The 12,895-nt window shown below is 41.7% G+C and overlaps 1 protein-coding gene across 10 annotated transcripts in view, besides 1 other annotated feature; it reads right to left on the reverse strand.

Annotated features, from left to right (window-relative positions):
• Window positions 1-12,895, reverse strand: part of NEBL (nebulette) — a 513,078-nt gene that overhangs the window by 301,532 nt on the left and 198,651 nt on the right. The gene's annotated exons all lie outside the window — the stretch shown is intronic.
• Window positions 3,058-3,211: a silencer, noted in NCBI's record as "fragment chr10:21373491-21373644 (GRCh37/hg19 assembly coordinates)". NCBI's record gives its function as "represses an EF-1alpha promoter that drives an FKBP-Casp9 reporter gene in an ReSE screen in K562 erythroleukemia cells {active_cell/tissue: K562}" and the evidence as "EXISTENCE:reporter gene assay evidence [ECO:0000049][PMID:32094911]".

Raw genomic sequence — 12,895 nt, forward strand, 5'->3', positions numbered from 1 at the left:
ATAATAGATAAAGAAATTGATATTTAACACACACATATAAACACATACATTTCCTAGCTGTGTCCACTGAGAAGGTCCAGGAGCAATGACACTCCAATAGCAACAAGCATACTTAATGTCCCTAGACGGTTGGTTTCCAAAGACTGTTCTTCACTAAAAGGAATCAAGCATCCTCGGAGAAGTGATTGATTCCAGGGATGGGGGAGGAAAAATATAAGATAAGTCTGGAACATCTCTACTGTGCCAGAAAGTAAGGATGTACCCAAAGAATGATGGAATTGTGTCATAAGGACCTGGAAACTTGCTCATAAGGGCTCCCATGGGCCAGGTGTGGAACAACTTAAGGATAGAAATAAATCATGATAGTGATGGATTATAACCCATTGAATAAAATATGAAATTGAAGTCTATACCAATAAAAATAAAAATACATGAGCAAATTAAAAGTTTGATGAGGTCCAGGATACATCATGTCAATTACCTTCATCAAATGATGAAAGTGAACATCACCAGGTTTGGTGCCACCTGATAGGATACCATGAAAAGAACATAGCACCCCTTTCATGAAATCCCTGCCAACCATGCCTAACCTGAATATAACCATGAAGAAACATCACCCAAACCGAAACTGAGGAACTTAACTGGGCTTCAAAAGAGTCGTGAAAGTCACCAAGCAACGAAGGAACTCTTGCAGGTTAGTGGAAACTGAAGGAACATGATGATTGAGTACAAGGCATCATTCTAGATTGGATCCTTTTGCAATAAAGAATATTTATTTGGGCAAGTGGCAAAACTTTAATGGGGTCTGAGGATTAGATCACAGTGATAAATAAATATTAGTGTTCTGATTTGGATGGTTAGAATGTGGTTATGTAAGAGAATGCCTTGTTTGTGAGAAATACACACTAAAATATTTGGCAATGAGGAAACATCATTCTGGCAACTTACTTTCAAGTGATTTCAGGAATAAAAATGTTCTTTGTAGTGTACTGAAAATTTTTTGTAAGTTTGAAGTGTTCCCCACCACCACTAAAAAAAAAAAAAAAAAAAAAAAAAAAAAATTAAGACTGTGTAGAGAGAGTGGAATAAATGGTCCAACTCAGCAATGGGCTATTTCCTCACCTAATTCCGATGCCCATTTTGATCCTATACCAGTGAACTATCACAAGGATGGAAAAAGTACTGTACTTATCACAAAGGACTTGAAAATACATTTATTTAAGAAGGGAAAATTATGGGATATGCAGGAGGGATGCATTTTTTTTTTTTTTTTTTTGAGACAGAGTCTCACTCTGTCACCAAGGCTAGAATGCAGTGGCATATTCTCGGCTCACTGCAACCTCCAGCTCTCAGGTTCAAGCAATTCTCTTGCCTCAGCCTCCCAAATAGCTGGGATTACAGGCGCCTGCCACCACACCTGGCTAATTTTTGAATTTTTTTAGAGACGGGGTTTCACCCTGTTGGCCAGGCTGGTCTCGAACTCCTGACCTCAGTTGATCCACCCAACTCAGCCTTCCAAAGTGCTGGGATTACAGGCGTAAGCCAGCGCACTTGACCTGAATGCACCCTTTCTTTGGTGACTGTTTCATTAAGCAGGAGCGCAGTGCTGAGGAGAAACATTTACACTTACCAGATGCCATCAGAGCCCCTTTGGTATAAAAGCCTTAAAGATTCTTTAGAGAATAGAAACACAAATAAGTTAGGAAGGCCTATCAGGGAAAATGCTGGACAGCATAGCATGACCCCAGGGTAAGCAATAGTCGATTTAAATTGATTTCACAAATGGACTTTCAAAATGAAACTGTGTAGTTGTTGTATTTGACTATCCAGGAAGTTTTTGTCCCTTCTTCTGGGCACTCATCATGTCCCTCCACCCCAGTAGCAGCACCCCACCTCCTTGTAGCAATGATCTGTTCAAGGGGTACACTGAGAACCAAAAGAGCCCGTCTGAGTTCTTTCTGAAATATTTTTGCAATGCTTGAAGAAGGAAACTCTCTCTTTGCACTGCAGTCACTTAGCTAAGATCATCAGCCACTATATACCGCTCCTCTCAGAGAAGTCCTCGGTGGAAGAGAGAGAATAACGCCAGTGTGCAAAGAGGAGGCCAAGGCAGGAGGATCACTTGAGCTCAGGAGTTCGAGAACAGCCTGGGCAACATGGCAAAATCCCGTCTCTACTAAAAATACAAAAATTAGCCAGGCGTGGTTGCGTGCAGCTGTAGTCCCAGCTACTTAGGAGGCTGAGGCAAGAGGATGACTTGAGCCCAGGAGGTGGAGGTTGCAGTGAGCCATGATTGTGCCACTGCACTGCAGCCTAGGTGACAAATGTGCAAATGTGCAAAGGCAAGTTGGGAAGGAAGAAGCTACACTCTTACAGGTCTGCCTATGACTGGAACAGATACTCTGGCATCCTTCCAGAGGCAGCGTACCTTTTCTTACTGAAGAGCCTATGGCCTGGGCTTCTCTCATTTGTCCCCAGAGAGTCCTGACTAATACAATTGTCATCTTGGGAAAAAAACCCTAGTATAAATAACCTGAATTTCCAGCACAGTTCCCAAGTATTTGGGTAGCACAAGCTGGTTTTTCAGGCCCTAATCACCTGCTGGATAAACCAGCCACTGTGGTCCCAGATTGGGTATTAAATTCTGCAGTCCAGAGAGATGGGAGTGGCTTTGAGACTTTCTCAAATTTCTCTGCACCCTTCATTTAACCGCAAGTGGTCACAGTGTGTGGTTTATGCGTTGAGTGTTGAATGCAGCTATACATACATTGTTGCCTCATTCACAGATTGCTTTATGTCTGTATGGCTTGCCTCCTCAGTTACACTGTAACAGTTTTATGGGCAAGAGTCTATAGTTTGTTTCTCTCTCGCTGCAATCACTGAGTAGATACTCAATAAACAAGATTGAATGGGTAGAGCAAATATAAAAGGCCAATGTTAAAACTAAGTCTCAGCCTGTAATCCTAGCTACTGGGGAGGCTGAGGCATGGGAATCACTTGAACCCAGGAAGGATCCCAGGAGGCAGAGGTTGCAGTGAGCCGAGATCGTGCCACTGCACTGCAGCCTGGGTGACGGAGCAAGACTCTGTCCCAAAAAAAAAATAAAAAAATAAAAATAAAAAACAGCAACAATGAAGTCTCTTGAGGGAAATAAAACTAAAGAGAGTAGAAGAGTTCAACCAGAAATTAGAAATTCACAGAATTCAGGATGGACGTCTAAGAAATACTGAATGAATGAAATAACCTTGCCTTCTCCCTCCTGCTCCATTGCCAGCAACATTCAAGCCAAAGCACAGGGGCATACGCACTAGCACAGAGAGAACCCGGTTGCTGCCAAGACTCAACATGACTTTACCACCTGGTCTGGTCATGGTTCTTGGTCAACTCATTAGGAAGCTTGGTGGGGAGTTTACGCATGGCTAGCCCTGTTGCACATGAATGCTTTTTAGAAAAGAGACCAGTGGGTTAGTGCGGAAAAATGTGAAAGGGTTATGCCAATCTGATTTCCTCTAGCCTATGGTAGTGTCACTGGGCTTGTCACATTCACTGTGCCTGAATAGCTTCTTCCCAGCCACCAACCAATACCACTTGGAAGACAAACCTACCAGCGATTTTGAAAGAATTGCCTTCTAAACTCGCTTGATTTTCATGTGAGGACCCATTATATTTCTCACGCTCCATCACATGCTAATCTTGAAACATTTATATTTCTTCCAAAAGTAGAATGCCCTTCTGAGATTTTACTAAGTCATAGCTACTTTCTTCTCATTGTTTTAGAGATGTGGAATTTTTCCAATTGTGCATTTTCAGTTAATTTGTTTTAAAACAGCACGTAGGCCAAGTATGGTGGCTCGTGCCTGGAATCCCAGAAGTTTGGGAAGCCGAGGCGGAAGGACTGCTTGAAGCCAGGAGTTCGAGACCAGTCTGGGCAACAAAATGAGAACCTGTCTCTACAAACAACAAACAAACAAAAAAACTTAATTAGCCAAGCATAGTGGTGCACACCGATGGTCCCAGCTACTTGGGAGACTGAGGCTGGAGGATCATTTGAGCCCAAGAGTTAGAGGCTGCAGTGAACTATGATCATGCCACTGTACTCCAGCCTCAGCGACGGAGTAAGACCTTGTCTCTAAAAATTAAAATTAAAATTAGAAATAAAACAACATATATACAAAAGCTCATTTAATTAATACATTAAAGCAATTTTCTACATAAATATTAAGAAGTGTATATGTGTTAAAGTAAAGTTTTGTTCTAATATAAATGCACAACTATGAAAATATATATAAATGTAGGACCTCATGGCAACAGGACAAAAGAGGCAAAAATATGCACTTCTCATTTACATCTCACTCGGCAGGGCAGGCAAGTCTCTCAGATATCATGAATAAACATTTAAAAATGTTTAGATATACAGGAGGAGCTTTTATGGAAATCTGCATTTTTTTCATTTGGGATTTTCTTAAAATGGGCTGTATCTGTACTTTTCCTTGTCTTCACAGTACTTCTTTGATAAGATGTACTTTGAAAAAAAAATCCATAAATATGTGTGTTTTCAACCAGGAGAATCTGGCGTTGTATTGGTGTACTAATGTAGAAAACAAGCAAAAGAGACTAGGCAATGCAGTTTGTTGCCCATTTTCACAATTTCCATAGGAATTAAAGAGTTCGACTCCGTGTTGTTATCATTTAGGCCCACATGAAATAGAGCCCTTTTCTAGAAGTGTTTAGAAATATCCCAGAAAAATATTAGCTTATCCAAAACTGCACGATTTGTGTAAGGAGAAATCAATGACATAACAGATTTCTCATTTTTCTGTCAATTGTGCTAAGACCCTATAACTCAAACAAGGTGATGCTATTTCCAGATGGCTATAGCTGCTCCCTATAGGTTTCCTCTCAAACATAAAAGTTATTCTTTAAAAACACTGCAGCCAATGAATGATATAGAGAATTTCATTTCTGAAGGTGCAAATTAGAAATCAGTGTCTAGTCGGGCATGGTGGCTCACACCTGTAATCCCAGCACTTTGGGAGGCCAAGGCAGGAGGATCACTTGAGCTCAGGAATTTGAGACCAGCCAGAGCAACATGGTGAAACCCTATCTTTACTAAAAATACAAAAATTAGTCATGTGTGGTGGTGTGCACCTGTAGTCCCAGCTACTTGGAAGCCAAGGTGGGTGGATGAGTTAAGCCAGGGAGGTGGAGGTTGCAGTGAGCCATGATCGTGCCACTGCACTCCAGCCTAGGTGACACAGCAAGACCCTGACTCAAAAATAAAAATAAAAATAAATTACTGGAAATCAGACTTCTAGTGAAACTAAAAACCAATGACAAAGACAGATACCAGTTTGCTGAAGAGTTCAGTCATGTCTCTTATGACTGCCACCCATAGGGAATGTTCTCTGCCTGAAAGATCTCCCTGCACCCCAACACCAATCCCAATCAATTTGGTTGTCTGCTCAACTACCCATCTACACTCAGCAGAACCATTAGTTTTCCAAGGGATGTCTCTTAACCTACCACCCTCCCTCACCAAGAATTTGCCTCTCTCTCTTCTGAGCTTCCATCTCACCAACTGTATATTCATTTCCAGTAAAACATATGACACAGTGTCACATTTATTTATTTTTCTATCTCTGTGAACTCCTGGAGAACAGGGAAAGTTACTGTCTCCTCCCCAGACCCCCCACCAATGATTAGCAGTGTCTATTTTAGTCAACAATAAATATTTGCTCACTAAATAAATGAGTCAGTAATTTTTCTGAAAACCAAGTTCATGATCTCGTTTTGACTTTTTATGGAAATTTGTGTGAGATGAGCCTGGCTTGTTAGGGTACAACACATAATTAAGCTTTTTTTTATTGATGACCCAAGTTCATTCTCACTTTAGAAAACACACACTGAGAACCTCTGCCTGTTGATATGTACAGAATGCCACCTAGAATCCCAAAAAGTCTCTGTCTCTCCTCTTTTTTCAGACTTTCTCTTCTCCCAGTTTTTAGTAAAACTGCCTCTAACAGAATTCACAATCCACCTCTCCTAATTGGCAGCCTTTAATCTGCTAAGGGCAGAGGAATTTGATAACTAAGCTTATTAAACTCATGTGACTAAAATGAAATAGTATCTGAATTGGTGCCTATCGAGTAATAATGTCTTGGAGCTTTGGAATTTGGAATGTGTGACAATTAGTTCCGCTGTTTGAGGTCTTGGAAATTACTTCATGATTTCTCCACCCTAGTTTGCAGCCCTGACCTCGGTATAATTGAGATTTTACAATATTTAAGTGCCTTAGATATGATTTACCATAATCCATCCTTAAAAGAAAATGACTTACGTGGAAATTACTGAGAATCAGAAAATGGACATGTAAAATGAATTAAATGGCTCTTGGTACACTCTGAAATAGGCAAATCGATTTCTGCCCTGAATCTGACGATTTGCAATACCGAAAATGCCACCACACTACTTTATGGAGATATTATGTATCAGTCAGAACAGGCTTGATTATGCTGTACAAACAACATGGAACAAACAAAGTGAAGCTTCCCCTGACAGTGTTTCCCTCCCCTACCATTCATGCTACATGTCCATCAGGAATCACCCCTGGGTCTACATTCTCACCCTGGGGCCCAGTTGTTTCTCTCCACATTGTCAGTCTTCTGGCAGAGGGAAAGGGACACAGTGTACCACATCCTGGCTCACAAAACTTCTGTCCAGGCACAGTGGCTCACACCTGTAGTTCCAACACTTTGGGAGGCTGAGACAGGAGCATCACTTGAGCCCAGGAGGTGGTGATCAGTCTGGGCAACATAGCAAGACCCTATTTCTGAGAAAACATTTTAATTATCTGGGTGTTGTGGTCCCAGTTACGCAGGAGGCTGAGGCAGGATTGCTTGAGCCCAGGAGTTCAAGGCTGTAGTGGGCTATGATGGTACCACTGCACTCCAACCTGGTTGTCACGGTGAGATTCTGTCTCTTAAAAAACAAAACAAAACCTTCTGCCCAGAAGTGACACACATCACTCTGACCTTCTTTCAATGGCCAAAGCATGTCCTATGGCCACTCTGAGTGCAGCCAGGTACTTCCTGCGGGGATGGAAACTAGAATATTTAGTAAATGGAAATACAGTCTACTATAATGACTGTAAAAGACAGAGTGCAGGCATCAGATGCACACATTAGCAGCAAAGAATAGTGACAGCCATCCTTCCAGTGGAAGATGGACTGTACCTTGGAATCTTTCTTACTCCAACATTCTGGACAACCACTACCAACTGGCAGAGGCCAGCAACTAAGATAAGAAGTATCTGCCAACCCTTCTACAGAGTCAGAGAGTCCAAGCTTCAGGGTTAAGGGAAGTCTTTCTAGAAGAGCTGGAGACTTTCTGGAAGAACTGCCCTCTGCCGTGAGGATGGGCAGTTAATGAACCACGCGAGGCAGGAAAGATTGTTTGAGGTAGCAGCACAGGTGAAGCTCTAGAGGGGAGATGGGTGAAATGAGGGTCCCCTGGCACTCTCAATGAGGAGAGATGGTGCAGTGACAGAGGAGACAGAAAAAGGGAGGCAGAACAGGTGTTAAGGAGGTCAAGTTGATTAGACAGGATTGTGTGGGAATTAAAGAAGAAGCAGTGAAAGAGGACATTTGAGTTTTCTGCTTGAGCGGAGTCTAGAGGATGCTGACATTCAGGAACTAGGCAGGAGGAAGGAAGGACAGGTCTGTGGGGTGACATGAGGTCAGGGCTGGATATGAGCAGTGTGAGCTGCTGTGGAGCCACACAGGGCACAGCTGGATCCCAGGCCTGAAGCTCAAGGTAAGAGCTGAACTCCAAATATGAACATGAGCATCATCAGCTTAGAGCTAGCCATGGAAGTCCTGGACTCCAAGACTGCGTTGGAACAAAGTGACTGGGACACGCAGCATGGAGGATTTCCATCAGAGCTTGGAGGAATGTTACTGGAGAAGGGGAGCAAGAGCACGTAGCCAAAGAGGTGGGGGGTGACACGGGTGAGTGTGGCAAGAGGGAAGCTGAGGGCAGAGAGACCGAGAAGGAGGAGACTGACGGGGAGCCACTGAATTCACTCAAAAAGTGGTGTACTGGTACCTGGCAAAAAGTGGGTGAAAGCCTGGGTAAGGGGGGCAGGACTGGAGGCTGCTCTCAATGATTGATAGGTGAATGGGAAGCGGGGAGGCAGAGGCATCCTTCACTCACCAATGTGCTTCAACAACAGAATCTTCTCCCTTTTCTCCCTCCTTCCCCTGCCCAGATAAACATCAAATCCTCCTCTGAATAAAAGTCCCCATTCGAGTTAAAATAAGAAACATGAAAACAGATGGGTTTTCCAAAAACATGTCCATAGTTCCAATATTCAAAATTACCCATTTGTAGCACTGTGCCTTCTTTTAAATTTAAAAATGATTACACATCATCTTCTATAGTGTGTCACATATGCAGAACGTACAAATGGCCTCTATGTTGATGACTCCCCGGTTTGTATTTCCAGCCCAGATCTCTGCCCCAAGTCCCAGCTGTCCCATTGAACATCCTGCTCACAACTCAGACCAAACATGGCCAAAGGCATCTTCCAGGTGCACTGTGAGCTCCAGGAGAATGGAAAGAATGAAAGTCCTGTCCGGTTAGGCCAAGAGCTACGGTCTTCCCAGTGAAGTGCTTGCAAAACAGTATTTATCACCCCAAGAACCACTGCCTACTAAAACTACACACAAAGATTCTTGCTATAAACAAAGATACATGGATATCTTCTAAATCACAAGGGCACAAGTACAGTCAGCCCTCCGTATCCATGAACTCAACCAATCGCCAATCAAAATATTTGAACAAAAGTGTAGAAATTCCTTTTCTTGTCATTATTCCATAAACAATACAACAACTATTTACACAGCATTTACATTGTATTAGGTATTATAAGTAATCTAGAGTGATTTAAAGTATACAGGAGGATGCGTGTAGGTTATATGAAAACACTTTGCCATTTTATGTCAGGGACTTGATGTTCTGGAACCTACCCCCACAGATATTGAGGGACTGTATTCCCTCCTTTGTTTTCTCTCTCAATTATAAGAATATATTTATACAATAAACAAATTAGTCACACTTAACACTTTTATTTTGGTACTTATCCAACTCACTGACCTGTGTCACACAACATCACTTGGAGCCAAATGCCAGCCTTTAGGAATTAGGAAGCTGAATGGCCGCCCTATCGCCACCTGGTTTTGTCATTAGCCAGTTTCCTCCTGGCTCAGAAGGCACCACAGCTCATCGTTGCTGGCCCCTGCTGTTCACTTCCTGTTTGTGGTTCAGTCTAGATCCATTTATCTACTGAGCTTTAGAAACACATCTCCAACCCACCAGCAGATCCATGCAGATGACCTGCAGACACTTCCGGCTCAACAAGACAAAACCAAGGTCATTATTCTATACCAAAAATGCCAATTTTTTCCCAGCGTCCCACCACCACCCACCCAGCCACCCCAACTAGAACCTCAGCACAATTTTGATTCCTCCCTCTCCTCCATGCCCCAAGGTCAACTCCACCTCCTGAACCTCTCTCGGATTCGTCTGTGTATTTCCTTCCCTACCACTGTGAACTGGGTTCAAGCCTCCATCATCTCTTTCCTGGCTTACTAACATAGCCTTTGACTGCAGTCAAGAAAACAAGTTCGTGTTTCACATTTAGCTAAGAAGACTTTAAATGTCTACACATGCAATTCCATTGTTGGGGGCCGGAGGTTGCCCCTTATGAAACATCTTGGTTATAAAATTTTCCTGCCAGAACATTTGAACTTGGATTCTCATTTTCCTCAAAAATCTTAAGAGTTCATGTGTCTGGGCCATTTCAATACATAAATAAAAAAGAATAAAGCATCAAGGATGCTAGCTAGATGTTATGTTCTTTCTATCACAATGAAAAAAATGTATGAGACAAATAGGCAGCCTACAAAATACACTGTTAACACAAAACAAAAATACTTCACTTCTTTATCCAATTAGCTATCAGTACCTCAAGTTTCCTCTGAAATTCTCCCAAATTCAGTCGTTGTTCTTCATCTCTCCACTTGAACTTATTAATTCATGCTTAGATTGCTACTTTCATTTTATTATATTATTTGGGGGATGGGGGTCAGGGTCTCACTCTGTCCAAGGCTGAAGTACAGTGGCGCAATTATAGCTCACTGCAGCCTCAAACTCCTGGGCTCAAGGGATCCTCCCATTTCAGGCTCCCAAGTTGCTAATACTACAGATGCACGCAACTACACAAGGCAAATTTTTTTATTTTTATTTTTTGTAGAAATGGAGTCTTGCTATCTTACCCTGGCTGATCTTGAACTCCTGGACTCAAGCAATCCTCTTGCCTCAGCCTCTCAAAATGCTGGGATTACCGGCAAGAGCCACCACGCCCACCTTGTCACTTTCAGATAGTTTTTTCTCATCTTGCATTTGCTATTGATATTTTTACCCATAGCTAATTTAACCCTATAACATATCTTTTTCTTCTATTTGTTAAGGGCGATTTTAGTTATGTCGTATCTTACAGAGTATCAGCAACTACAGGCAATCTGATAATGGAAGAGTTCTGTTCTCAATTCTTCATCAAGTTGTCCAAAGATACATTAAGCAGAACTGGTCGTTATGTGCTATCACTACTCATATGGTCTTTCATTGATTGTGGGAACAAGGATACATGTTCTACGGGTGTGCCATTCATTCATTCATTCATTCATTGATATGCCATTACTACAGTCAAGAGAAAGCACCAGCTTCCCAAAGTTAAAATAAACATATCTAGTACTATCCCACTGTTTGCCTGTGCTTCTAAATATAGAAGGCAGTTAGATTGCTCTAATACCATTTAGTTTGTGCAAAACCCTGTTTTTTACTATGTTCCTCTAGAAGTAACAGTAAATTATGTGATGATTTATTCCGATATCACTTCATGTATTTGAAGTTCGTCTGACCTGCCTATAATTTCCCTTGTCAATCTATTCTGGCTGTGTGTTTTATAAGCTAGTCACAATACTATATTTTAATTCACATGGACTTCTTTTTACCTCTATAATTTAATAATAATAATAATAATAATAATAATAATAATAATAATAATGGCTCACCACCAGAGTAGCACCTGCCAGTTCCTTTAGTAGCCAACAGGCCTTACTAATACAAATAGTTCCAGTTCTTCAAAGCACTTTTTAACTCTTTTTCTATTTTGACTCTCTACTTTCATCAAACCTGGGAACTGTTCCAGGCCCCTTCACATCTGATATTTCTTATGAAGAATGAATCGAGTAAGGCATTAAAAAGCCTTTGCCTTTTCACCAGCTTATGTTATCAGCTTTCCCAGCCTGTCCATCAGAGACCCATGCCAAGCAACTTGTGAAATTATATTACTCTAAAGTCTTTCTGGAACTTTCAGTAGCTAGCCCATATGGACAGGATCCAAAGTGGACTCACAGTATATTTTCTCTGATGTGGGAACAGTTTATGACAAGAGAATAATGAAAATCTAAATTGCCTTGTACAATTTATTGTATTTTATTTTTGTTCTTGGCTTCTTGCGTATCTACCAAGGAGAAAAGAGGAAATAATTTTTTAAGAGTACTTTTATTCATTTAGCAACAAGTCTTTTTTTTTTTTTTTCCATTTTAGCAGAGCCAAATGAAGATTCTTCAAGATATGGTATCTTTTCACTTGGCTGTTTCTGCCTGGGTGACTCAGAGGATAAGTATTTGGGAAAGACATGAATGGTAGTGCCAGGGTCCACCAGCCCAGAAGCATTGGACGCATTTTATCATAGGACCATGAGTTGGACAAAATTTTATAGGTGAGAAAAAAAGAAATGGGCTGGAGAAGGGAGACTGTCATCTCTCTTGGCTTGCTCTGTCTCCTCCTCTCACCCATCAAGTCAAGGGAACCAGACGCCCAAAGCCAAGTTCATCAGTCCCTCCATCGGCACTGAAAAAATCCATCAGTGTTCATAAGCTGCTAAGCTTGTGTAAACTGAATGCCATCTCCAAATTTCCAGTCTTGCCAACAAGCTGAAACAGGAGAAAGAATATGCAACCAGATGGGGGTCACAGCATTTTAAGTGCTTTCTTCAAGATTAAGAGTTGGTAGAACCAAGAAAAGGAAAAGACATACAGAATGTCTTCAGCTCATGTATCCACAGATCTCTGTCTTGTTCAGGTATATCTAAGCTCATCCACTGGAAGAGGAGAACAATATTTTATCCTGAAAAATCTACTGCTTCGTAAACAAATCAATACATTTCTTGTGAAAATCTTTTATAAAAATGTCCTAGACTGGTTTCCTTAGCCTTCATTGCATGTGTTACTCATGATCCATGAATCACACAAAGTTCTCACTGACCTTCTTTTCTACAGAGATATTTTTTGCGGGAACCAGAAAACATTTTGTCGTTTTTGTGAAAGACTATTTTCCATTCTAAGCTTTCCATAGAAAACTATATTTATCTGTGGTTTGACACATTAAGCATCACTACTCAACTTAATTTGTTCTTATGGGTCCTTAAGAGTCTAAAAAAGACCGGGCTGGGTGTGGTAGCTCACGCTTGTAATGCCAACACTTTGGGAGGCTGAAGTGGGAGGATCACTTGAGGTCAGGAGTTCAAGACCAGCCTGGCCAACATGGCAAAACCCCATCTCTACTAGAAATATAAAAATTAGCCAGGTGTAGGCCGGAGACGGTGGCTCACGCCTGTAATCCCAGCACTTTGGGAGGCCGAGGTGGGCGGATCACGAGGTCAGGAGATCGAGACCATCCTGGCTAATACGGTGAAACCCCGTCTCTACTAAAAATATAAAAAATTAGCCGGGTGCAGTGGCAGGCGCCTGTAGTCCCAGCTACTTGGGAG

The sequence above is a fragment of the Homo sapiens genome, chromosome 10 (assembly GCF_000001405.40).
Source record: "Homo sapiens chromosome 10, GRCh38.p14 Primary Assembly".
Taxonomy (NCBI): domain Eukaryota; kingdom Metazoa; phylum Chordata; class Mammalia; order Primates; family Hominidae; genus Homo; species Homo sapiens.